At 37.1% G+C, this 27,407-nt stretch overlaps 1 protein-coding gene and 1 long non-coding RNA gene across 3 annotated transcripts in view, besides 1 other annotated feature; one reads left to right on the forward strand and one right to left on the reverse strand.

The window, feature by feature from the left end:
- FGF10 (fibroblast growth factor 10) overlaps positions 1-1,063 on the reverse strand; it is an 89,174-nt gene extending 88,111 nt beyond the window's left edge. The window contains exons 1-2 of one of the 2 annotated variants that reach the window (XM_005248264.5): positions 791-1,063; positions 1-699 (exon numbers count right to left, since the gene is read on the reverse strand). In XM_005248264.5, the coding sequence (XP_005248321.1) occupies positions 1-325 (325 nt within the window). In that variant the 5' untranslated portion in view covers positions 326-699; positions 791-1,063. The other variant, NM_004465.2, reaches the window with a different exon arrangement.
- On the forward strand, positions 375-25,632 carry FGF10-AS1 (FGF10 antisense RNA 1). Its single transcript, NR_108034.1, has 3 exons — positions 375-556; positions 6,880-6,992; positions 24,034-25,632. It is a non-coding gene; the product is annotated as an FGF10 antisense RNA 1 (long non-coding RNA).
- Positions 707-2,008: an enhancer, noted in NCBI's record as "VISTA enhancer hs516". NCBI's record gives its function as "enhancer in: limb[4/6]" and the evidence as "EXISTENCE:transgenic organism evidence [ECO:0001131][PMID:17130149]".
- Positions 25,633-27,407: the final 1,775 nt, after the last annotated feature.

Here is a 27,407-nt window from a genome sequence, read left to right on the forward strand (position 1 = left end):
TGTACGGGCAGTTCTCCTTCTTGGTCCCGCTGACCTTCCCGTTCTTCTCAATCTTGAGAAAGTACTTGGTGAAAGAGAATAGCTTTCTCCAGCGGACATCTCCTTGAAGGTGATTGTAGCTCCGCACATGCCTTCCCGCGCTGGAAGGAGAGGAGAAGGAGGAGGAAGAAGAGTTGGTGGCCTCTGGTGACACCATGTCCTGACCAAGGGCTTGGCAGGTGACAGGGACGGAAGACACCAAGAACAGCAACAAAAAGCAGCAGCAGCAGCAGCCGGGCAGGTGGGGAAAGGCTGAGGCACAATGTGTCAGTATCCATTTCCACATTGTACTGAAACTCTCGGCACTGGAAATTGTCTCATCAGAAGGAACATACTGGAAGGGTAAGACCCGATGCAAGGCAAGGAGAGAGCTCGAGGTGGTGGCTGCTGGTTAGCTCCCTCTGGGCGCGGATCTGGCCAGAAGTGAATGCACCAACATCCATAACTCCTCGGAAAAGCCGGCTGACTCCCCTCGCTCCTTTCTCGGATCCGCTGCCTACGCCTCTGGAGCCTCCCGGTAAATGGTGGACGTGGGTGGCCGCAGCAGCAGGAGCTGGTGGTGGCGTTGGTGGTGTTGGTCACCAGCGCTCTTCGCTCCCCCAGGAGTTACTTTGTTCTCTTCTTTACTCCTTTCTTCACCATGTTAGATGCCAAAAAGGTCTGAAAAACAGATGACAGCACGGTGAACAAAACCCAAGGGAGGTGGGGTGGGGAATAGGGGGAGATATCTGCACCCCTCTGCGGTTGGCACCTTCTGGTCTCTCTCTGCGGAGCCCCAGCCTGCGAGCCACTTCTACAAGTATATCCCTTTGGAGTTGTCAGAAGTGGAGGCAGCTGCCCAGTCGCCGTTGTTTTCTTCCCTCTCTTCCTTTCTGTTTTTAGTGGTGCCTGCCGATTTGAAGGCTGCCGAAAGTCACTTTTTGTTTTGGGGGACGGCGGCTGGTGTTTTGTATGGCCCTATCTCCCACCCCCTTCCTTTGGAAAGTCCGCTTGTAAACAGGTTGAAGCCTGGAGTCTAAATGTCAGTGATTCTAAGCCAGAGGTGGGCTCTGCCTCTGCTGGTCAAACCTCATTTGCAGGGGTGGAGAAGAGGGGGGAGGGGGTCAACCGGCGGTGGGACATCTGAAACCCTAGGCTGCTGGGAACGCCAGGGAGAGGGAGGGTGAAAGGGGCAGAGAAGGGGGTGGGGGAGCAGGGGAGCGAGGAGAGAGCGCGATGCCTTTGCACCGAGCTCGGGGGCTGCCAGGTCCCTTCCTCGCCGCGGCTGTTGCGGCCGCAGCCTCCGCCGGCGCCTCTAGCTCTGTCTAATTCGCTGCTAAAGCGTCCTATGCTTGCAGCGCGGGCCACGGCGCTGACGGTATCTTCCCGCTTTCCGAATTTTGCTGTCTTCCAGCCTGAACCAATCCCTTCTGGGGAGCCCCTTTCTCACTTGCTTTCCAGCGTAGGATCTCCTCCCCCCACCCCCATTTCTTTTGGCAGTGAAGTACTTGAGAGCCACCTGGAGCCTGGTGCTTGGCTGACTTTTCCTCCCTTCTCACTCCCAGAAGAGGAGAGGGCTGGGAGAAAGCAGAAGATGCTGAGGATTTTAAACCGTCCAAAGCAGCAGGTTATAAACTGGTCAGAACGAGCACAGAAAAGGAAGACATAATTAGTGTCCTTTCCTCCTCTGCTGCCAGCTTCCAAGGAGGTCTCCTCTTTAATGAATCACTGATTTCTCGCTTCCGTTGCTGAAGTAAAAAGTTCACACTTTGGCCCTCTCTGCCTTTTAAGCTCAGGGAGATTTATCGTCACCCTTAAAAGTTGCCTCTCTCGGCGCAAATGAAATCAGGGACCCAAATAACCGATTTCTAATTGCTAACATGAGCCCTTCACTGAATCATGCGTGCACTTCAAAGCAAACGCACTTTATGGCGATCGCAAAGATTTTACCATATAATTTGGCTGAATAGCCTGCTGTCTGTTTTCTTTTTTATGCAATTTCCTTTGCACTTTGTCATAAAGGGGAGGTTTTTTTTTTTTCTATCTTCACATTTAATGTTTAAAGGGCTCTGTTTTACAATATCACTGCACTACTAGTCCTCCTCTCCTTTTCACACTCTTTCAGGCCACCCCAACTCCTCCCTTGCTCGCAGAAACTAGCTCACAGCCCAGGTATTGACAGAACTAAGTCCAAGGCTAAGAAACCTTTGCCAAGAGTTAAGAGGCACAAAAAAGGAAATACTGTGATAATCCATTCCAATCTGAATAAGAAACAGCTCCTAGAGGACCACTTCTTTAAGAATGACTCTAAACTAGGGAACGTTTAACTAGAAGGAATGCCTAAACATGTACTGGAATGAACTATCTATGTCACATAGGACAGTTAGACATTTGTGTTTTGTTGAAGCCCACAAAATTGCCAACATTTTAAGGTTTTGTACCTACAAAAGTGGTAATTTCATATGTTTCAACCTAAAATTAGGCTGCCAATGTAAGACAGAGAAACACTTCAAGGTGAACTGGGAGTTTAACAACAGCAACTGTAATTTGGAGGGAACTAATTAGAAGAGTCTGTGTTCACACAAGCTAGGATCCCTATGATGTGCGTTTGACCTCCATATTGGTTGTGAACCAGAGGAAATGCAAAGAAAAAAGAATTAGCGTTAGAGATGAGCATTAGGAATGATTGCTCAATTAAGTATTTAGTGACTTGAAAAATGAGTTTACATGAATGTTCTTATATTTTTCTGTGTATTCAAATCCTTTGAAATAGAATCATTTAATACTAGAATCAGGATTTTAATTGCATTAGTTATAACTCATGCAGTGCTTATTTAGAAGAGTTCAACAATGTGGTGAACATTACAATAGGTTTTTAAAGTTTAATATAATTAGCTCTAATTTCTGTAGATATTAATTGGAAAGTTAAGCAAATAAAGAGCACACATCAAGCGAGTCTTTTTCTTTAGGATACTGAAAAATGAACCAACAGTGCGAATTTCAATGTTTTAGTTCACAGTTTTATACCTGAGAGGACAAATGCCTGAAAGACAGTGTAGTGTTTCCCATGGATTTGGGTTTCAGCCCAATGGTCCAGAAGAATCCAAATGTTTGATTTTACAACTAATTAAAACTACATTTTTTAAAAATTATGTTTGATGAAACCATACAATAAAGATTCTGCTGTGAAAAGTTACAAAACACAGGAAGTTATTATTTTGGGGTTTCTGTACAATAGGAACCAACACTATTGATGCCACTTTGGGGTTTAAGAATTTTTGTTAAACTCACCCTAGACATGTGCCCCTCCAATCCAAAGCTAGTCTCTCTTTCTCCCTCTCTCTCTCATACACACATCTACCAACTTTATGTTCCAGTAGAAGAAGCCATTCAGATCTTTTAGCTAGGAGTTTCTTTGTTTTTTCTGTCTAAAATGAGGGAAAAGATGTCTTTAAACTTTCATATTAAAATCTGGTTGCAGCAGGTGCAGTGTTTGAAAGTTCTAGAGCCCCTTCGCTGCTCTTCTGTACAGCGTGATGACAAGAGGGCATTTACAAAACAGCCCAAAGGAAAAGCTGACATAGCTTTTTAGATTATATCTCATTCTTCTTTTTCTTTTCTGTGCAGCCTTTCTTTTACAGCACAGTTGAATCCCTAAATACCCGACTACTTTGCATTGTTAGGTCACCTCTTAGGTTAGCCCGAGAAAGCCTGAGAAAAGTTCCACAGGAAAGATGCACTATTTAACGGAATTCAATCTCTCCCAATAGATTTGAATCACTAACATAAATGTATGAATGTAGATTATATCTCTGTAATGAGGCCTGAATCATTCTCAGTTACTTCAAAGGACTGAAATTCTACCTTCCTTTTTTAGCTGCAATAATCAGGTCTTAATGGGTTCCTTTATTAATTGTTTCTTTGCTAGGATTGAAAAGGACAGTACAAGCTTCAGATTAGAGTGGTACCTACTAATTCTCAAAGGCTGTTTTTCTCTTTTATCCAACTTCTGGAAGGCATACTTTATTTCTATGCCCTTAAACATATCTGCTACTATCAGGCTAGCTCTGTATTGAGAGAAATAGATGCAGCCTTTTGTTACGTGTGATGTCTTGAGAAATGATTGAGGCTTTTTAAAACAAGACCATGGCAGCAGCCATTGAAGAATCCTAAAACCTGGCTCTTGAACCTCAGAGAAGCAATCAGTGTATGTACTAGCAGATCCTTCAGTAGCTATTGTGTTTGAGCAGTTTACATTTTACATATGTATTGCCTGGATTCTTTATGTTGCTCAGCACTACCTATGGTTCAGTTACAAGATGTGTGCCCTATTATGTATGATGTTATTGGCAGCGTCAGTAAGCTGCTTCAAGTAATGCTAAGTAAGGTCAAAAGTCAGCCACGCTGTTCAAAAATTTAGACATATGCAGGCCTCATTTTTTCACCCTGTGGTGCAGACCTTATGAGTATGTGTCACAGCCCATTTTTCCCTTTTGGACACAGAACATGCCAGTTTTAAGTCATCATTAGGACTTGTGCACTTCCCAGGCTGCAGCTAGAAATGATGCTAATAATCACTCACATTTGGGTGAATGAAGGAGTGATATCTTATTGTTTTTAAACCAGGAGCTTCAAGTGAACAGAAAAGAGGTGTTATCCCACAGATAGTGGTGTGCATTGCTTCAGAGCCAGTGGGAATCTTAGCTATAACTGAATCCAACACATGTATTTTATAGATGAATAAGCTGATTCCCAGGTCACTCCATGGTAGACCAGAATTTGGAACTCCTGTGATAGACCTTAGGCTATTACCCTAATTTTTGCAACACCTGTCCTGTTTATATTCTTTTTCTTCCTCCCTACTCCCTTTCTTACCATTGACCATTCATCATTCTAATATGTCTAAGATGGCAGAGTAGAAATGATAAAAAGAGTTAGGGGTTTAGTTATGGAAAAGCAATTATATCTTTGCTGCAATAGATTAACCAGAGAAAAGTAATAAAATAGTGTTGAATTATTAAGTACCAGCTGGGTTAGCTAAAATAAATATTGATATATACTTGGCAAAGGGGGATATTTTATCAATGCTTCCGAGATGAGCACAATCAAAAAGTAATGAATACCCCATATTTTCAGAATACCCCAATTTTTTAATAGAATCTGAATTTATAAGTTCACCTCTAGAAAACTGATGAGACTTTCTAGAAAAGTAGATTTATAATTTGATCCGGGTTTCTGCGTTCTAATATTAATTTTCCATAAAGTATTGTGATATTTCAAAGCATAGGTTGCTTAAACAAGTTTTTTTCAAAGTTTGAAACTAAGGTTAATTTTCTGTTCCCTCACTTTCAAACAGACTCAATGATCTGTTATTAGGAAGGAAATATGGCCAAGATGATAAAAAGGATCTTTTGTAACAAGAAAAGAATTCTATATAAGATTGTTTAAAACATACAATAAATCACCACAAATTCCTGGAAACTGAACTTTGCATCTTGGCACTAAACACAACAAACATATTTTCACAAAGCTGCTGTTTGTCCCCTCCCAGCTGATGGTAAACAGAACCTTCCCTTGACAAAGTTGTGAAGTCTCTGAAAAGTTTTGTTTGTTTTCTGTGTTCCCAGCTGTCCTTTTGTAGATCTGTGCCTCTTCCTACTTCAAGCTCTCTAGGCATCTTAGTCCTGCTATCTATGGCAAAATTGTAAACATTCTGATATTAGTCATTTATGTTTGTGAATTAACTGACAGATTATAATATTTTCTTTAAAGTTGTAATGTCATGCCAACAGACATTTAACTGGTTTTTATTCAATTAATGTTTATTGAGTGCCTACTATATGCTAGGTAGGCATTGTGAATGGTGCAAGGTTTTTCCAATAAATTAGACAGAGAAACTTACCCCATAAAGAATGTGCATGCATGATTGAATGCATGAATTTAGGCAGTTTATCATTAATGATGGGCAAAATATGGTTATCTTAGGACTCAGAAACCAGATATTGGAAAGACAGATATTGAAAAAGAAAGAAGAGCCCCTGAAAATTCTTTTTGATTTTCCTTTTCTCTACAACAAGAGCTAAGGAAAACTGTGACTTCTATTTATGGCTTCACGAATGATTAAGACTTGATTTTTCCCTATTTTATGTCCCTGGCACAATCCTTTTTTCTAGATTTTCTCTACAGTGTGGAGATTTTGGTTGCATCCTTTCTGTCAACCCAACCCGACCTCCTCTCTTTTACTCCTGCTCCCAGACTCCTGGAAGCATATTTCTTGCTTTCTAGTTTATTATTTTAATTACTTCCCAATAAAAGTTCCCTAATCCATTTGCTGTCCTCTGTGCCTCTTATTATGAAATATAATTTGACCTGATATCCATTCTATTTGAAAAATTTTGCCTCTGTTAAGCAAATTTTGACAAAAAGAATGTATTTTCTATGAATTAAAAATTATTGTGTTGGGGGCAATGCAATATTTGCTGTACTGGATTTCCTTCGATTGGCCCCCAGATCCATTCTTTCCCCTCCTCTGCTCAGCTCTGTGCTGACATGTGTGAATCACCGGTCCTTTTTAAATAGAAGACTTTGAGTTTGTTTTGTCAATGGGAGAATGGAATCCTTAGATCAGCACACAGAAGGCGAGAGAACTCTGGATATTTCCTCCTCTCCTCCTTTATGTTTCAGTGACACTTTTCTGGCAGTGTCTGTATCCCTTCCCACTGGGTGACCCCTCCTCTAGGACTCTGGCTATCACTGGCAACCCTAAAATAATATTTCCTCCCCATCTTCTTAAGCTCAAGGACTGGTAGCAGTTCCTGTCTATTACTTGCCTATCATCATTATCCCTTGTTTCTTTCACAGTGCCTGCACCTTTGTAACTGGTTACTTTATTAAAGTCTCTTCACTTAAATCAACTGGGAAGAATTCTGTCCTACTCAGGACACTAACTTCAAACTGCAGTATATACCATCACAGTAAGTAACCAGTTCATAAAATGTGGTTTTTTGGATATCTGAGATAACAGGGAAGTGCAAATTACTACAAAGCAGGTTGTGAAGCATCTAATGCTTGCTTGGTGATGTACAGGATTCCTTAAACCATACGAAAGGTAATGCCGCATGACATTTGCCCTCTAGAAATGTATAATCTAATATTGAATTTTGATTGATCATTGCAGAGTTTTTTATTTAGCTAATGATTTTGAGGTCTAAAATCAAAGAGTAATTTATTTTGATTGCTGACTGTTCAATAAAATACATTTATATAAATGACTTCAGAAAAGGAATCCAAGAAAGTAGAAATTATGTTCATAAATGACATACATTTATGGAAAACTGTAAAGTTCTAAATTAAAATCAGCTTTTTTCTTTTTAGTTTAAATATTTCCTAATATTAATCTTTACTAATTTTTAAAATCATTAATGTTTTTATAAGGAAACATGTTATACTGATGTTTGTTAATAGTCTGGTGTATAAAAGAATGGGGGAAATTAATATTATTTTCTAGCCCACTGAGAGGTATTGTTTGAACATTTTCGTTTCAACTAAAGACAGATCTTTAAAAATAAATAAAGAAATATGCAGCCCTCAATTGTACAGCTAGGTGCTAAAGCTAGGTAAAGCACCAAAAACCCCAAGATGAAATACATTTGCAGATAATTTTGTGTATTGCTCACTGTCTAGACAGTTTCACAAATTTCATAAACAAATGACTTCTTATAGAAATCAATATAGCCTAGAGTCTATGAAGCCCAGATCAGGGCTTAGTCTTTCATCTTCTAATCTTATAACCCTGAGAATTTATAGAATTTTGTATCTTTATAGCTAGAAAATACTTTAACTCTCTTAGTTCTACTGCCCTTACTTTACAGGTGGAAAAAAAAAAAAAGAGAGATCTGGGATCACGAAGTGAGCTGCCCAGGATGACAGGGCCGATAGTGACAAGCTGCTTCCTGTGCACTAAACTAGTGAATGGCAAGCACTTCAGCCTTACATACTTACAGATATAATGCACTTCCAAGAATAACAGTGGCCCCTTCTGAGGCTGTGGGGCAAGAAGGAAGAGAGGGAACATTTCAGAATCTCTGGGGCATTTGGCACGTGATGTTTGGAAAATTCTCAAGGTGTATTGCAATGTTTGCCTTCGGAAGGTTCTGACCTTGTGGTTGAAAACTTCTGGGCTATCGCTAAGTTAGGACAGCTTTTTGATAAATCTCTTGAATCTTAGCTAGGGGTGAAGGAGACTGCTTTTAGGTTTATGGTTCAACAGTAGGCCCTTTTGAAATTCATTTCTTCTTAAAAATCTATAATGTCTCCTTCTTTCCTATATGTTAAGTATAAATTCTGGCTTTCATATTCCTATTGCAGTGATATGGTTTGGCTGTGTCCCCACCGAAATCTCATCTTGAATTCCCACATGTGGGAGGGACCCAGTGGGAGGTAATTGAGTCATGGTGGCAAGTCTTTCCTGTGCCCTTCTCATGATAGTGAATAAGTCTCACAAGATCTGATAGTCTTAAAAAGAGGAATTCCCCTGCACAAACTCTCTTTCTTTGCCTGCCGCCATCCATGTAAGATGTGACTTGCTCCTCCTTTCCCTCTGCCATGATTGTGAGGCCTCCCCAGCCATGTGAAACTGTAAGTCCAATTGAACCTCTTTCTTCTGTAAATTGCCCAGTCTAGGTTATGTCTTTATCAGCAGCATGAAAACAGACTAATACATTCAGTTATCAGCAGAAGTTTGGCTATTTTAATTTGACATTTGAATTATATTGGCAGAGGGAGAAAGAACTTAGAAATATTTCTTCGGCCAACTTCTGAGAAAGAAACATTCTTTTGCTTTACACCATTGTAGCCATGTTCATCTGTGGGTGAATTAAGGTAGAGTCTTCCTACCTTACAGCACTAGATAGTAATGTTTATTTATTTAGCTGGTATGTTTTCAGTGTTTCGCCTATACTTGCTGTTTTATATATTTTTTCCCTAAAAATAGGAAAATATATATAAATATATAATTTCCTAAAATATATATGAGAAATATTTTAATCATGTATTTTCTACAATTTGAAACTTAGTTGTGGGAAATCACCCAACTCATTCCTGTCATTTTATAAACACACACACACACACACACACACACACACACACACACACCCCTTCAAGGACCTCTTATTAGACATCTAGTCTTGTTTTGAATTTGAAAAATAAAGCTTATCAGATCATTAGGAATAGATTGAAAAAATAATAAGAAGCTTAAAGACTTACATATACAATTTTGGCACTGTTCAATATCTATCTATAACAGATAAATGTTATTTCTATTAATTATTGCTAGATTCTGTTTTAGAGGTCAACTTCTAGACTGACAGAAATAATGCTAGTAAAAGAATTGCATAGTAGAACAATAAAAGTAGCCCACTGTAACTGGAAGGCAATTAAGAGCATTTGATTTATCAAAGAAATTTAAGTGTTATATGATTAGATGCGTAAGTTATTTGCCCTCCAGTCTGACAAGATAGGGGAAAAAGTAGAAAGGAACATGGACCTTAGATATGAAAGTCCACATCCAGGCAGGTGAAGTTACTTGCCCAAGTGGCAAAGCCAGCATTTATTTCCATTTTCTGACACAATCCTCTGCCTAGAAAAGCCCTGGGCACCCAGATTCAGTACTTTGAACCTCAGAAATGCCAGTTGGCAAAGTCTGGGGGACTCCATGTTGAGAGAGCCTAAGGAGTAAGGACAGTGGTACTTCACATTATGTCTTTTTATATTTTTCTCTTTCACGTGCCTGATTTTATTGCTTATTCTAGAAAATTCTGGGTTCTGAAGGCATACTTAAATGAAAGCAATACCTCTGCTTCTCTGTTTCATTCCCAAATGTAGAGGTTTGTTCTGCAGAACCACCTGCTCTGTTTGATTATTGATACTACAACAGTAGCAGTAAAGAGAGCCCTTGTCCTTGACTTGGGACCCTGCTCTGTGTCAAGTTAACCCTTCTTCTTTCCTTTGGGGGCAGATACCTAACTTCTGGGCTACTTTTCCACCAAGATGAAAAAGAAATTGATTATTTTGCCTAGAAATCTAAGGCTGGATAGTGCACATCCATTCTACATAATTAGTGGAGAAAAAAAACTTTGCAAGCTAGCTGAGGATGTTCCCTGAGAGCATTTGAAGCTTACTTTAGTGAAGATTCTTAAAATGACCTCAAGGGGGGCTATGAGGAAAAAAAATCCCTATTTACTCATTACTTAAGAGTTAGAATTTAGCTAACAAACTCTGCTGCCATTCTCACCTCTGTTTTGGTATTTTGAGTGTGTCAGTTGAATTTTAGCTACTGCATTTTTAAAATAAGTAAAACTTTAAAGTAGTAAAATGAGTCTTAACCTAAAGACAGGATCTCCTATTATCAAAGTCCAAAATGAAATTGTTTGTAAGGTTAAAAAAATTATAACTAAGCAAAGCCAGGGGAAAAAGTGACTAGTTTATCTTTTGGTAAAGAAGCAAGGGAAATGAAATACAGACAGCAAGGAAACCACATCTTTGGTAAAGTTAGAAACCTCAGCCTCAGAGTTTTTTTTTTTCTTTTTTAAATAAAGCAACTTTTAGATTTAGCAATATAAAGTATAATTCGTTTTGGTACTTAGGAACATTTTAATGATAAACACTATCCTTTCAGGCCTACTGAAAATACACACAGTTGTATCCACATGACAGCATATAAAGGTTTTATGAAGAAATTAATTGCTGTATAAAGTTTGGGGAGCCAATTTCATTTTCATCATTTTTCTGTCTCAAACATATTTGCTTCTGTCATTTGGAGGAAAGCTTGTCTCCTGGTTGAATTGTCTTTCTTACAAAATGAATTTTTGAAAGCTACCCAACTGAGGAAGGGTGAATGACCATTAGGAAAAATTAAACATTTATGGCCAACATTTATGATGTTGGTGGAAAGGAAAGAGAAAGCTGTGTACTCCAATTTCCATCAGGAAAGTGCAGAAGCTGGAAACAGAACATTATGTTCAGATAGGAGGAGGGGAAGGTGGAATGTTTTGTCACAGTGCTGCTCCCTACAAGGGACTAGTAAAGGGAGGGATGCAGAGAGCCCTCCTGCAGCATGCAAATGGAAGGGGCTCTGATCCAGATCCCTGCCTTTGGTCAAAGCATCTCAAGACTAAGAGCCAGTGCCCAAGCACTTCCCTCTGTGGTGAAGAGAAGTGGATGAGGCATTGTCCTCAATTTCAGGAGTGTGTGATGTTCCTGTAAAGAAGCTGTATGTTTAAGAGCCTGATGGAAGGGAGTGTGTACCTGGAGCACATTTTCCAAAAGTGACACTATTTAAGACCCTGATATGGTTTGCCTGTGTCCCCACCCAAATCTTGAATTGTACCATAATTCTCATTGTCATGGGAGGGACCTGGTAGGGGGTGATTGAATCACGAGGGCAGGTTTTTTCTGTGCTGTTCTTGTAATAGTGAATTAGTCTCATGAGATCTGATGGTTTTATAAAGGGGAGATCCCCTGCACATGCTCTCTCTTGCCTGCCACCATGCAAGACGTGACTTTGCTCCTCCTTTGTCATCTGCAATGATTGTGAGGCCTCCCCAGCCATGTGGAACTGTGAGCCATTAAACCTCTTTCCTTTATAAATTACTCAGTCTCAGGTATGTCTTTACAAGCAGTGTGAGAACAGACTAATACAGGCCCCTTACCTAAGTTAACCTCTTTTTTTATAATGTTTAATTTCTAGCACTATTGTATAGGTATTAAAGTTAGTACAAGTAACATGATTTTATTTGGGAATGAGTCTTCAACTAATAGATTTTTAAATGATTTTTCATGATAAAATGACCTAAAATACATAGAGTATGGAAGTAATGTGTTTTTAGTTGGACAATATTTTGAAACAGATCAGTGTTTTCCTCAGTGGATGTGTGTGCTGTGTGTTGTTGAATATTATTCTGGATTTATTCTCCAACAAAGTGTATTTCCTGGAACTGTTTCTTGTAGAAAAATATACAGTTTCTTAGTTTTCACTTAGTAGACTTTCACATTGCTGGAGAATGCCAAGTCTATTGAGGATGAAAGGGAGATAGGGAATGATGATATAATATGGAATGAGATATGGAATAATGCCTGATAACCTGTGCTTTAATAAATTCTATTAATAGTATCTTCTGTCACATGGGGAGGAAAGAATAACTCAGAATACTTGTCAGGCTTACATAGTTTATTATATTTTCAGATGAATGGGAAAAGAGGTAAAGGGTGCTAAACCAAAAATTAGGAAATCTACATTATATTTCTGGTTCTGACACTCATAATTTTGTGTCTTAGGGATAATACTTAGGCAAAGGGATAGAGACCATTTGGCTCTAAAATTTTCTAACCTATGAGATCCAGAATAATGATGTATGTATTGTATTAGCACCACTTAATGGCAATAGTAAAAATAGGTGGTCATTAACATGGAAAACCAATCTAGTTACTTGGTTATTTCATGGAATCATGGAATTATGGAACTGAAAGTCCTGTCTAAAATCAAGCTCTGTTTTCATTTTTTTACACAATTGCACATGAAACAACTATGGTCCATAGAGGAAAAATTACTTTCCTGATATTATCCAGTTAATTAATGACAGAATCTTTAGGAGCCGCATGCCCCAACTTTCTAATATTCTTTTTACAATACCAATATTTTACAGCAAACAGTAAAATTTTGTTGTTTTTTGGAAAAAAGATAATGAGTAATATAGTGAGAAAATGCAAATGTTGATAAAAGGGAACTCTGACTAAATGGATTTTTTAAGTCTTATGCAAGTGTCTATAAAAAGGTGTTGCATAAATGTAGGTATTTTATGATGGGAAGGGTTTGGAAGTCAAACCCATGGTACTTGCATAAAGATAAGAAATTGAGTAATAGGAGTTAACCATGATGAGATGATACTACTCTGTTTACATTTTTAATATTTGACAGTCCTTAATTGCACTGGTGTTTTAGGCAGTTTTAGCTAAAATAGGAATTAATTGCCAAAAAACTATCCAAAACTGCATTAATGAACAGAAAAATGATATAATTTCTAGGAATTTATCCAAAGGAAAAAGTCCTTGGCCTTCTCTTCATCTGAAAAGATGACTTAATTTTTAATATGAATCACACTCTTGAACTAACTGGATCTAATTACTGCCTATTTTGGTCCTTTCTTCTTCTAGGAATACTTCTGTAAACAGAGAAGTTTGTCATTAAATAATTGCTTTTATCATCACCCAGTGAAATACTTTTGTGATGGTTAATTTCAAGTGTCAAGTTGACTAGGCCATGAAGTGCCCAGATATTTTGGTCAAACATTATTCTGAGTGTGCCTTCGAGGGCGTTTGCAGATCAGATTAATATTTAAATCAGTAGACTGAGTAAAGCAGATTGCCCTCTCTAACATGGGTGGGCCTCATCCAATCAGTTGAAGGCCTGAATAGAATGAAAAAGCTCTCCCTCCCATAAATAAGAAGGAAGTCCTCCTTCCTAACTGGGTAAACTGGGACATCAATCTTTTTCTGGCCAGGCACGGTGACTCACACCTGTAATCCTAGCACTTTGGGAGGCTGAGGTCAGGAAATCGAGATCAGCCTCTCTACCCCATCTCTACTAAAAATACAAAAACTAGCCAGGTGTGGTGGTGCCCACCTGTAATTCCAGTTTCTCAGGAGGCTGAGGCATGAGAATCACTTGAACCCAGGAGGCAGAGGCTGCAGTGAGCAGAGATCACAGCCACTGCACCCCAGCCTGGGTGACGAAGTGAGACTCTGTCTGAAAAAAAAAAAAAAAAAAAAATTCTTGCCTTCAGACTCAAGCTGGAAAAGCAATTCTTCTTAGGTGTCAAGCCACGGCCACTCAGAATGAAACTTATACCATCAGCTCTATGAGCTCTCAGGACTTCAAACTCTGATTGAAACTACACCATTGGCTCTCCTGGGTCTTGAGCTTTCTGACTATAGATCTTGGAACTACTCAGCCTCCATAATTCTGTGAGCCAATATATAGATGTATTATAAGATAATAAATAAATTTATAGCTATATATATATATATATATATATGAATAGGATATATATATCCTATTCATGCTATTTCTCTGGAGAACTCTGACTAACACAACTTTATTTGCTTTTTTCCCCCTGAGAAAACTTACTGTAGACTTTTTACAAAATCTTAGTCTAATCATTTCTTTTTCCGTATTTTTGTCAACAATGATTATATGCTAATCTATATACCTTAGAATATCCTCCTTGTTCCTTTTAAACTATGCTTAGAGTGTCTATATCATGAATTTTAACCAATACTGATCTCATTCCTGTTGAAGTGGCTTTGCAGTTAGATGAAAATAAAACTGGTTTTCATTTTTTGAATTTCCCAATTCTATTTTTTAAAAATTGTCTAGTAATTAATTTTAACAGCACCAAATTGTACAATTCTGGGGCCCATGATTCTTGTGTTAGTCTATATGAAAATTGTCTTTTGGAATTTTGCAATGCAGAGCTTTATGTAGAAGAGACTGCTGGCTGCCTATCCAAGAAGTACAACCAGCTTTTTCCTTTGTGACAGAGTCTCTAATTTATTTGTTGAACCAACTCTCCTCTTGAAGACCATATAACTCACTAAACCAAAAGTAGTATACCATTGTTTTTGCTGGCAATTGGGCCTAGGATGGATATGTGACATAGTTCTGGCATAGGGGAAGTCTTCTGGCAACGTTACTGATAAATAAAAAGAGATGTCCCTTTTATTCTGCCAGGCATTGTCATATGTAGACACAGTTCCTGGAAGTATGACAGAGTTTGTGACTATGAAGGGAGAAGTGGAACTGGGCATAGGTCAATGCAATTAGGTATCTGAAGAATAGGGTGAAAAAGATTTTTAAAACACAAAGAAACTCTGGGACCTATAGCACAATGGTGTCCCAAAAGAGAGAAGGGAGAGCATGTGGCACACAAACAAAAGAGAATAAATAGTGGCCAAAATTTCCGCAAGTAGGTGAAAGATACAAATTTATAGATTTAGAGAAGTTCAGTGACTCCCAACTTATGTGATAACTGCCTCATATGTCTTAAAGAAATTGGACTTATGTAAAAATTTGCAGGTAACATTTTATAGTGGTAAAATGTTTAATATTTCCCCCACATATCAGGAATAATGCAAAGATGCACACAGTCACCACCATTTGTATTCAACATTGTATTGAAGGTCCTGATTATTGAAATAATAAACCTTAATTTTCTTTTTTCTTAATTGATCTAACAGATCATAGTTCGTTCAAAATAATAATAGCATTGTATTCAGCTATATCAATAATCATCTTAAACATCAAGGTCTAAATAAACAAATTTAAAAAAAGAGATTTTCTGAGTAGATAAAAAAGTAAGACCCAACTATATGTTGTTTGAGAAGAAACTCACTTTATATATAAAGACACATACAGATTAATAGCAAAGGGATGGAGAAAGATACACCATGCTAAAACTGTTTTTCAAAAAGCAGTAGTAGGCTGGGTGTCGTGGCTCATGCCAGTAATCCCAACGCTTTGGGAGGCCGAGGTGGGTGGATCACCTGAGGCCAGGAGTTCAAGACCAGCCTGGCCAACATGGTGAAACCCGGTCTCTACCAAAAAAAAAAAAAAAAATACAAAAATTAGCCGAGTGTGGTGGCATGCACCTGAAATCCCAGCTACTCAGGAGGCTGAGGCAGGAGAATTGCTTGAACCCAGGAGGTGGAGGTTGCAGTGAGCCGAGATCGTGCCATTGCACTCCAGCCTGGGTGACAGAGAGACTCTGTCTCAAAAAAAAAAAAAAAAAAAACCGAAAAAAAACTGGAGTAGCTATTTTAACTTCAGACAGAGCAGACTTATTATCATGGATAAACACAGGCATTACGTAATGATAAAGAGATAGTTCTTCAAGACGACATAACAATCCTTAATGTATATGCACCTAACACCACAACATCAAAATACCTGAGGCAAAAACTCATAGACTTTTAGGAAAAATAGATTAATTCATGATTACTGTTGGGGACTTTCACACCCCTCTGTCAGAAATGGACAGATTTAGGAGACAGAAAATCATTAAGTACATAGTTGAACTCAACAACACCATCAGTCAATTGGATGTAATGCACATCTGTAGAGTACTTCATCCAAACACAACAAAATACAAAATCTTCTCAATCTCTCATGGAGCATTCAACAATATTGACCACATTCTGGGCCATAAATTCCATGTTCACAAATCTAAAGTAAAAATTGTACAATGTCTGCTTTCAGAATACAATGGAATTAAAGCAGAAATTAATAACAGAAAGATAGCTGGAAAATTCCAAAATACTTAGAGATTAAACAACAGACTTCTAAATAACACGTAGGTCAAAAAAGAAATCTCAAGTGAATTCAAAAAATATTTTGAACTAAATAAAAATGAAAACACAACTTATCAAAATTTGTAGAATGCTATAAAACTAGTGCATAGAGGAACATTTATGACACTGAATGCAGATATTTAAAAAAGAAAGTGCTAAAATAAAGTTTCTAAGCATCTGCCTTAGGAAACTATAGTTTTAAAAAGTGCAAATGAAATTCAAAGTAAGCAGAAAAAAAGAAATAATAAGAATTAGAGCATAACTCAATGAAACTGAAAGCTGGAAATTAATAGAGAAAAGTCAATGAAACCAACAACTAGTTCTATGGAAAGATCAATAAAATTGATAAAACTCTGGCAGGCTAAGAGAGAGAAAATATAAATGATTAGTATAAGAATGAAAGAGGGAACATCACTATAGATCCCATGCATATCAAAAGGATAATAAAAATATTATGAAAACTTTCTCCTCACAAATTTGACAGCCTAGGTAAAATGGACCAATTTCTTGAAAGACACCACCTGCCAATCATTATGCAACAAGAAATAGATGATTGGAATTAGGCCTATGTCTATTAAGGAAATTGAATCGATAATTAACAACCTTCCAAAATAGAGAGCTCAGATGGGTTCATTGATGAAGTTGACAACAACACTTAAGCAATAAATTATAGCAATCATCTACAATCTCTTACAGAATATAGAGGCACAGGAAATTCTTCCTAATTCATTATATGAGGTCAGCATTACCTAACCAAAACCAGATAAAGCCATTACAATGGCCGGGCATGGTGGCTTATGCCAGTAATCCCAACAATTTGGGAGGCCGAGGCGGGTGGATAACTTGAAGTCAAGAGTTCGAGACCAGTCTGGTCAACATAGTGAAATCCCATCTCCACTAAAAATACAAAAATTAGCTGGGCGTGGGGGAAGGCATCTGTAATCCAGCTACTCAGGAGACTGAGTCAGGAGAATCACTTGAACCTGGGAGGCAGAAGTCGCAGTGAGCTGAGATCATGCCACTGCAAGCCTGGGCAACAGTGCAAGACCCCATCTCAAAAAAAAAAGACAATTCAAAAAAGGAAACTACAGACCAATGTCACTCAGGAACATAGAAACAAAAATCCTCAAAAAATATTCAATCAAAAAAAAGAATCCAACAATATATAAAAAGAATTATAAACAATGACCAAGTGGGATTTATCTCGGGTATTCAAGGCTGATTGACATTCTAAACCAATGTAATCCATCACATCAACAGGCTCAAGAATAAAAATCACACAATCATATCAAATTCAACACCTATTTATTAAAAAAACTATCAGGAAATTAGGAATATAAACTTTTTCAACCTGATAAAGAACACACACACACACATACACACACAAATCCACAGTAACATAATAACTATGAGAAACTTGAAGTTTTCCCACTAAGATTAGATACTACTGCTTTTAAACATCATATTGAAAGTCCTAACTAATGCATAAAGACAAGAAAAGGAGATAAAATATATACAAATTGGGCAAGAAGATATAAAACTGTCTTTGTAGATGACATGATCACTTATGTAGACAATATGAACAAAATAAACAAAAATGCTCCTAAAACTAGTAAGTGATTATAGAAAGGTTGAAGGGCACAAACTTAATGTACAAAAGTCAATCACTTTTTAATATACCAGCAATGAACAAATGGAATTTGAAATTAAAACAGAATTTTATTTACATTAGCACCCCAAAAATGAAATACCTAGATGTAAATTTAACAGAATATGTATAAGATCTGTATGAGAAAAACTATACAACAGTAATGAAAAATAGCAGATAAGAAATAAATTGAGAGAGAGTCTATGTTCATAGATAGGAATACTCAATATTGTCAAGATAGTAGTTACTTCCAACTTGATCTATATACTCAAGGCAATCCCAATAAAAATCTTAGGCAGATAATTTGTGGATATTCACAAACTGATTACCATGTTTATATGGAGAAGCAAAAGACCAAGAATAGCCAACAAATTATTAAAGGAGAAGAATATAGATGACTGATATTACCGAAATTCAATACTTACTATAAAGTTACAGTAATTAAGATAGTTTGGTGTTGGTGAAGGAATAGACAAATATGTCAATGAAACAGAATAGTAAGTACAGAAATAAACTCATAAAAATATAGTCAACTATACTTTGACAGAGGAGTAAAGGCAGTACAGTGGAGAAAAGATAGTCTTTCACTTGCTGGTGGGAAAAGGAAATGGTACAGTCACTTTGGAAGACAGTTTGGCAGTTTTTTACAAAACTAAACATACCATTAGCATTCAATCCAGCAATCATGCTCATTGGTATTTACCCAAATGAATTGAAAAGTTGTGCCTCTACATGAATGTTTATAGCAGCTCTATTCATCATTACCAAAACTTGGAAGCAACCAAGATATACTTCAGTAGATGAATGGATAAATAAACTATGCTACAATCAGATGAAGAATTATTATTCAGGGCTAAAAAGAAATGAGCTATCAAGCCATGAAAAAACATGGAGGAAATTTAAATGGATATTACTAATTAAGTGAAAACAATCTGAAAGAGCTACAATTACTATATGATTCCAACTCTATGACATTCCAGAGAAGGCAAAACTGGAAACAGTAAAAAATTAGTGGTTGCTGAGAGTTCAAGAGAAGGAAATGATGAATAGGCAGAGGATAGAGGATTTTTAGGACAATGAAACTATCCTATACAATAGTACAATGCGCCTGTAATCCTAGCACTTTGGGAGGCCGAGGTGGGTGGATCACGAGGTCAGGAGATCGAGACCATCCTGGCTAACACAGTGAAACCCCGTCTCTACCAAAAATACAAAAAATTAGCCTGGCAGGGTGGCACACGCCTGTAGTCCCAGTTACTCGGGAGGCTGAGGCAGGAGAATCGCTTGAAACCCGGGAGGCGGAGCTTGCAGTGAGCTGAGACTGCGCCACTGCACTCCAGCCTGGGCAACAGAGCAAGACTCTGTCTCAAAAAAAAAAAAAAAAAAAAAGTACAATGATGGTTACATGTCAATATACATTCATCCAAACCTATAGAATGTACAACTCCAAGAGTGAGCCACTATGTAAACTATGGACTTTAAGTGATAATGATGTGTCAATATACATTCTTAGATTGTAACAAATGTACTACTCTGGTGCAGGATGTTGATAGTGGGGGCGGTAGTTGTTGAGGGGCGGTGGGCAGAGTGTGTATGGGAACTCTCTGTACTTTCTGCTTAATTTTGCCATGAACCTAAAACTCTTCCAATAGATAAAATTTATTAATTAAAAATTCCCTGACACCATACACAAAAATTAACTCAAAATGGACTATTGACATAAATATAAACGCTGAAATCATCTAACTTTTAGATAAAATGTAATTTTCATGATGTTCATGTAAGCAAAGATTTCTTAGTTTACAGAAACAATACCTATAACAATTGAGAAATTATACTTTATCAAAAATTAAAATATGCTTATCAAAGTACACAGTTAAAAAAACGAATAGGCAAACCATAGGTGGGAAGAAAATTGTATACATACCGCTGGCAAAGAGCAGGTATATGGGTTATACAAAGATACCCTATAATTCAATAAGCAAAAGACAAATAACTCAATTAAAATGCGCAAAAACTGTACAGACGTTTTACAACACAAGATATATAAAAGGACAGTAAGCATGTAAAAAAGTGTTCAGCATTATCTGGCATCAGGAAAATGTGAATTAAACCTGATGTGTGCAATTCATTTAGAAATGCATATAAAGTGAAGTGGCTGGATTGCTAAACAGGATGATGGTGACATAGAGATGTATGCAATAAAGCAAGTACAGTAAAATGTATATGGTCAAATATAGGTGATGAGTATTAGGATGTTTATTACAAAATTTGTTCCACTAAGTTGTATGTTAAACTTTTTCCATAAGGAAATCTTGGACAATATAAAGACAAGTGAATACAATAATATTTAAACACTAATAAAAATGATTTACAATTATGAAATATCTAAACTGATCTAGAATGTGGAAATTATACATTTTATTTAAGAGCAGTAAGTGCTGCATAGCAATAACACAGAGAGGACTGGATGGATTGGGATATGGGAGGTGCCTAAAATTTTAAATAGGGTTGTTACAGTCTTCACTCTGAAAATTATGCCCAAGTTCAGAATTAAAGAAGGTGAGGAAATTAAGTAAGCAGCAATTTGGAGGAAGCTTGTTATAGTTAAGGGTGACAAGTGCAAAGACCCTGAGGTGGACCATATCTAGCACATTCAAGAGAGAACATGGAGGTCAGTTAGCTGGAACAGAATGAGCAAGGTGTAGAGTAACAGGAGATCAGGTCAAAGGTCTGGTAAAGAGCTGCAGGTGGACCTGTGGGTTCATGTGTGTAAAGACTTTGGTTTTTATTCTGACAGAAGTAAAGAACTATTGAGATTTTTTAGGAAAATAGTGGCATCATCGGTCTTAGGGTGAAAAGAATTACTCTGACCACTGAGTTAAGAGTAGATTGTAAAAGAACAAAGGTAGAAGCAAAGAGACCATTTTGACAACTAGAGCAGTAATCCAGGACTTTAGCTGGACTTAAGGTTATAACATTAAAAGTGGTGAAATGTGATTGTATCCTGGTTACATCTTAGAGTATAATCAAACTGATTTGCTGATGTGTTGTATGTTCAGCATGAGAGAAAGAATAGTGGAGGATAGCACCAAGATTTTTTGTCTTGATAAAGTGGAAATACTGAGTTTGTGTAAGAGACAGAAGAAAAGGGGAGAAGTGTTGGAGTGAAACTATCTTTGAGTAGGCAAGAGAGAATGAAATATGGTGTATAGATGAAGGGATTAGATTTAGGGGAATAAACAGTTAATTTTACCATGGGTGAGAGAACATGGTATATGATATAGATCCTGTCAAGTGGCAAATTTGTCTCAGGTAGCTTGTGAGAGTTCCCTTTTGATTGCTTCTTATGTTCTTAGTGAAATAAAAATACTTGGTCATCAACTGAATTTTATTTTTATCTTTACATTAAAAAATGTACATACTCTTTGACCCAGACGTTCCACTTCTGGGAATCTATCCTTTGGAAATAAAACACTGGCATACAAGGACATAGGTACAAAATTTATTAGTGTATCAATGTTTATAGTGACATAGAAAAAGCTTCATATTTAATATTCATCATTCATAGAGAAATAATTTTATACATTTTGTGTCATTCCTATTATTGAAAATTTTTCTCTCCTTTGAAAATCCAGTAAATGTATGTATATTTATCAGGACGGATGGTCATGTAATATTGTTAAGTGGGCAAGGGAAAGTAGAAAGTATTGTGTATACTGTTACTGTTTTAAATGAACAAAAATAAATCTTATATACATTTCGCATATGGATAAATATGTTAAGAATAAACAACTAACAATTTAAAATTGGTTAATTGAGGAAATAGAAATGGAGGATATGTGCTTTAGATTTAGATTTTTTTTCTTTATGTATACTTGCATTGCTTCAGTTATGGTAGGAAACACATATTGCTTTTGAATAAATACTTACCAGAGAAAATTCATTTTTTAATAAAAGCATATTCAATTTATTTGTAAAAAAATTTACCTACATATCTGATAATTTTGTGTTGGGAGTATCATTCGATATCATTATGTTCATATTTAGATTTTGTTTAACCGTTAGCAGATACAGCTGAGTTTAACTCCCACTCTATAACTCATCTGTCATATGCTTTCTGAACGTCGTAAAGATTTTGCATCACATTTTAAAAGTTTTATTTAAAATATCAAATCATATTTATGCCATATTTTCATTAATAACACATTTTATCATAATGCAATTACCATTCCAGTATACCTTATATATTTTCTTTTAATTTACCTTTCAATGTAATTCGTGTTATTATGTCTTATGGTGATGCATGAATTTACACTGTTCAGCCATTATAAAATTATGTTACTAGGTCATTATAAAATTATGTTACTAGGTTACCATCATCCCAGATCACTTTTATTACACTTCCTATTTGTATTTTTATTATATCTCTCGGTTTATGGGTTTATTTTGCTTATGATTGAGAAGTAAACAGATTTTCACTTTTTGTTGTAGTTGATTTAAATATTTTCTTATAACAGTTTTAATAAAATACTATTTTCCTATAAAAGAATACTTAATCATATGATTATGTAAAATGTATTTTAATGGAACAGAGTTTATATACTGCTATGGTCTGAATATTGGTGTCCCCCAAAATTCATATGTTAGAGCTTACTACCCAATGTGATAGTAGTAAGAAGGTGAGCCTTCAGGAAGTGATTAAGGCCTGAGGGCTTCATCTTCGTGAATGGGTTACTATCCCAACTAAAAAGAGGTTCAAGGGAACTCCCTGTGCCCTCTGCTATGTAAAGACTTAGCAACAATGCACCATCTATTAAGTAATGAGTGAGCCCTTACTAAACACCAGATCTATTGGCATCTTGATTTTGGACTTCCCAGCCTCCAGAAATGTGAGTAATACGTTTCTGCTGTTTGTAAGTTACTCAGCCTAAAGTATTTTGTTATAGCAGCCCAAAAGGAGTGAGACACATATACATATTAAAATTACTTCTAACACCACCACAGTTATCAATCTTCTGTCCGGCTTCCCTCTGATGCCTTTTACTATTTCACGGAGCTCTGACCCTAAGTTTCCCGCATTTTTGCTTCCAGCAACCTGTACCTATGATTGCTCAAAAGAGGACCTCCACACAGGGTAACTCTTCACTAAAGAAGGTCTAGTGCAGTGCAAAAATATGAAAGCCAGCTCTCTTGCACTGGGGCAGAATAACTCTGACATACATCCTAGACTGCAGAGAACCCTGGTGGAATCAAGTTGCAGCTATCCTCTAGGGCAGGAGGCTTTGCCTAAAATTGCATTGTTGTTTGCGTTGTTCCCCTCCCTTTCCTGCTTGTCTCACTCCCTTACCCTGGGAGTTCTTTCTTCAGAAATCACTTGCACATGGATTCTTGTGTCTGAATTTGTTTCAGGGACACGCAATCTAAGTTACACTCAAACTACATGGCTATTAAATTCCTGTCTAATCAAACCTTCACCTTTAGGCCTCTGCTTTTTATGTCTTTTCTGGAAGATAAGCAATTAAGTTGTTTCAAGAGGAGATTACTGAAAAAGTGCATTCTTCTAGGGTTCTAATATTTTATACAAATCTTCTGGCAATAATTTCTTATTCTACACCAATTACTTTATTGGTCAAAACTGAAAATTCTATTTGAAAGTTGAGTCAATAAAGAATATGTTTAGGAAGAGCCAAGATCTATCAGTTTTTTTCAACTCAAGTTACATTTGTTACCACTTATTTCACATTCCTAGAAATCTGTGTTAGAATTGATTTCTATCCTAGCTATTTTTTAGAAACCATTTTTCTTACTCTCTGCCCTGTTCTATGTTCTTTATATATACTGGCTTATTTTAGCTTATACCCCACCTGGAACAATGATAGTCCAAGTCATTTGATCCTGGTTATTGCCCAGTTCTGACCTGTTGTTTCTTGGTGTTTATTGGCTGTCTTGGCTTTGACTTTCAGGCTTCTTTGGTTTGACAGAACATTTGGACACATTTCTGCAAACGGACCCTTGGCATCTCTTCTTGGAACAAAATTTTGTATTTGGACTCTGGCACCATGCACCACAGATGCAAGCAAGAAGCACTTCTACCTTCTGAGGCGGCCCCTCAAACTCAAGCCAGCTAGGCTAGGCCTGTCCAGCTTTCCTTCACAAAGAAGGATTGGAGAGTTGCCGCTTACTGGCTTTCTCAAATGTCATTACTTAGCCAGTCTTCTGAAGATTGAGATTCATGAACATTGGACTCTTGCCTGTAATTACAATTCTTAAGTATATTAACCTTATTTTCAGCTGTATTTTTAGTTGCTTTCTGACTTCATCTTGAAAATACCTATACTCTTTCTGCATTTATTCTAATCTTACTTCTGATCTTGATTTTAAAAAGATCTTTATCAATGAAATCACCTCCAAGAACTATTTTTGAACTTTAAGATGTATTCTTAAATTTTTAGTAAAATAGGATTTAGAATCAACTTTGTGAAGATTACTAACAGAAAAATGAATAGCTCCTACCATGAGGCAGTTTATAGTTAATGTAAAGAATATTATACTTGTTTATACATGAAAAAGCCATTTTCTTTCTCTAAACCTCAGAGAGCTATATATATTTAATGAATAAATGAATGTATGATGAATGAATTCCTGTCAGTCTTTAGCGAAGTCTTATCTCTTATTTGGAATTCTTTCTTTATCCCCTATGTCTTCATAAATTCCAACCAATATCCAGGATTAATTCAAATTCCTTACAAGGATCTGAGAAGGGTTGGAGCTGTGGTATGGGTATGATTGGTAGATAGTTTTGAGCAACACTATCACCAGAAAATCTCTATTTTTCTCCCAGTGACTTTTTGTTGAGGGTTGAAGAGTTTCCTTGAAGGCAAAAAAAAAAAAACTGTACTCATCCAAAATGTTACAGATGTAACTTATGGTTCAATAGAAGCCTCTGCAAGCCAGGATACAGAAAGAAACTTGAACCTTTGCAGAAGCTTGCAGATTCAGCAACAGAGACTGAGATAAGAATGAAATGGTAATTCTGGGTATGGTGTGGTGCCAAGTCCTGAAACCAGTCCCAATATACCTACCCTAGAAGCATGTGGACATCCTGAGGACATGAAGGGCTCTATGTGTGATCCGGAAAAGGTGTTCCACTATATTCTAAAGTATTTATGGGCTGTGGTAGGCAGAGAAAATTATCCAGCAAAAATTCATGAATTGTTACTGAAAAGTGACTTCTCAGATAAGTATTACATTTCTCAGCTCTCGTCGTCATTAAGCATTACCATGGTGACTCAGATCTATCCAGTGGAATATTGTAAGAAGTGATGTTGCTATTCAAGATCTGGCTCATGGAAGTGCTCCTCTGTGATCTTCTCTCTTTTTTTTCTGCTGCCTATAATAAAAACTTCTCCCAGGGAACTTTGGAAGTCTCATGCAGAAGACAGCAGAAACTTCACCAATCTGGGTCTCTGTGTGACTGAAAGTATAAGAGATGGCAGACCCATCTACCTGTTCTCTCACCTTTTAGTGTCACATGATCAAGAAATACACTTCTATTGTCGAGAGCCATATATGCTTTTGAGTCTACTTGTACTGTGAGTTTACTCTAGTTCAGATCCTTAAGCTCTCCTGCTATGGAACCCTACCCATTGAGCTTAATATAGTGGGATGGAACATTGCAAAGACTCCTGACATACTGTTTGAGCACTGAGAACATTAATGTTGCAAATAAAAAGGTAGGAATATGCACCTTAATGAAATGAGGGGCCTGTGTGAGGCAAGGAATGATGGTGAAGATAGAGCTTGGAGTAGCAGAGGATGGTGGGTAATTACAGTTCAAACTGATATTGAAGTGCATATAAGATCCTTTTTGTTGCTGAAGGGGTGGGAAGTGTTAAGGCATTGGAGTTTCTGAATGAGAAAATGAGAAGTTGGAAATAGCAATATTCAAGTACTACTAACAGTGTGACCTTAGATGTGTCAGATTGGTGAGGCATGTATGCATTGTATTATGCTATTCTACAATGGGGCACAATGACAAATGCTTAAATCAAAGATGAATGAGAACTGTGCTGATGACAACTGAAAGCATTTATTGAGAGAGTACTCAAATAGATCAGCACGTTGCCATATAACCTATCCTCTTAGCCAAATTTAGGCATTCAGATCACTCAATTATTTATAGATGTATTAAAATGTCAAAATTGAAGTACTGGTTCAATCACTTAGACATTCAGAAATATTCATTGGGCATCTGTTATGTCTGTGGCATGGTCCTAGGCAATGGTGATGAAATGGTGGATTAGGACAGACAAGGTCTCTGTTTCTTCCTGGGGATTATTTGCTGGTAGAGAAAATATACAGCATAAAATGAATAAATAAGATGGTAAATCTTGAAATTGTTATTGTGAGTAAAATAAAAAGTGTTTTTTAATAGAGAATATTAAGAAACGTGAAAAGTGAGAAGGAGCCAGACATGTGAGGAGTGTTCTAGACAGTGAGCGCAGTAAGCACAAAAACACTGGCAGGAAAGAGTTTGGGAAGTTCAAGGCACTTGGAAAAGACCAGTGTGGCTGGAACATGGTATGTAAACAGTGAAGCTGCTAGATATAAGATTGCAGATGCTGATAGAGGCTAAATCATTCACGACCTAATAGGTCCTGGTGAGGACATTGAGTTTTTAACCTAAAGGTAATGGGAAAAAAGGAAGAGTTTTTGTTTTTGTTCTGGGGTTTTATTTATTTATTTTTAGTAGCGACAAGGTTTCACTATGTTACCCAGGCTGGTCTCAAATTCCTCAGTTCAAGTGATCCTCCTGCCTCAGCCTCCCAAAGTGCTGGGCTTACAGACGTGAGCCACCATACCTGGCAAAAGGAAGGTTTTAAGCAGAGCAGTGAAATGAAAGAGAAGTAACCAGTTAGGAGGCTATTACCAGAAACCAAGCAAGGAATAATAGTGACCTGGGAAGGCAATGGTAGAGATGCAGAGTAGTAAATGAATTTGAGGAATATTTTGAAGGTAGACTTAACAGGATTTACTGTGCTGATTAATATGAATTTCTTTCTTTCTTTTTTCTTTTTTTAAAGACACAGGATTCCACTATGTTGTCCAGGTTGGGGTGCAGTTTGACTAATCACAGACACAGTCATTGTGCACTATAGCCTGGAATTTCTAGTCTCAAGTGATCTTTCCTCCTCAGCATCTTGAGTGCTCTGTATTTCTTGCATTACAGATGAGTGAATACAGGATTACTGGAGATTAATCAGGTTTAAGATTTAAAGTCAAGAAGTCTTCAATATACATATTTTTGAAGTACCTTCATTATATCACAGCTATTAAG

This window comes from Homo sapiens, chromosome 5 (genome assembly GCF_000001405.40).
Source record: "Homo sapiens chromosome 5, GRCh38.p14 Primary Assembly".
Classification (NCBI taxonomy): Eukaryota; Metazoa; Chordata; class Mammalia; order Primates; family Hominidae; genus Homo; species Homo sapiens.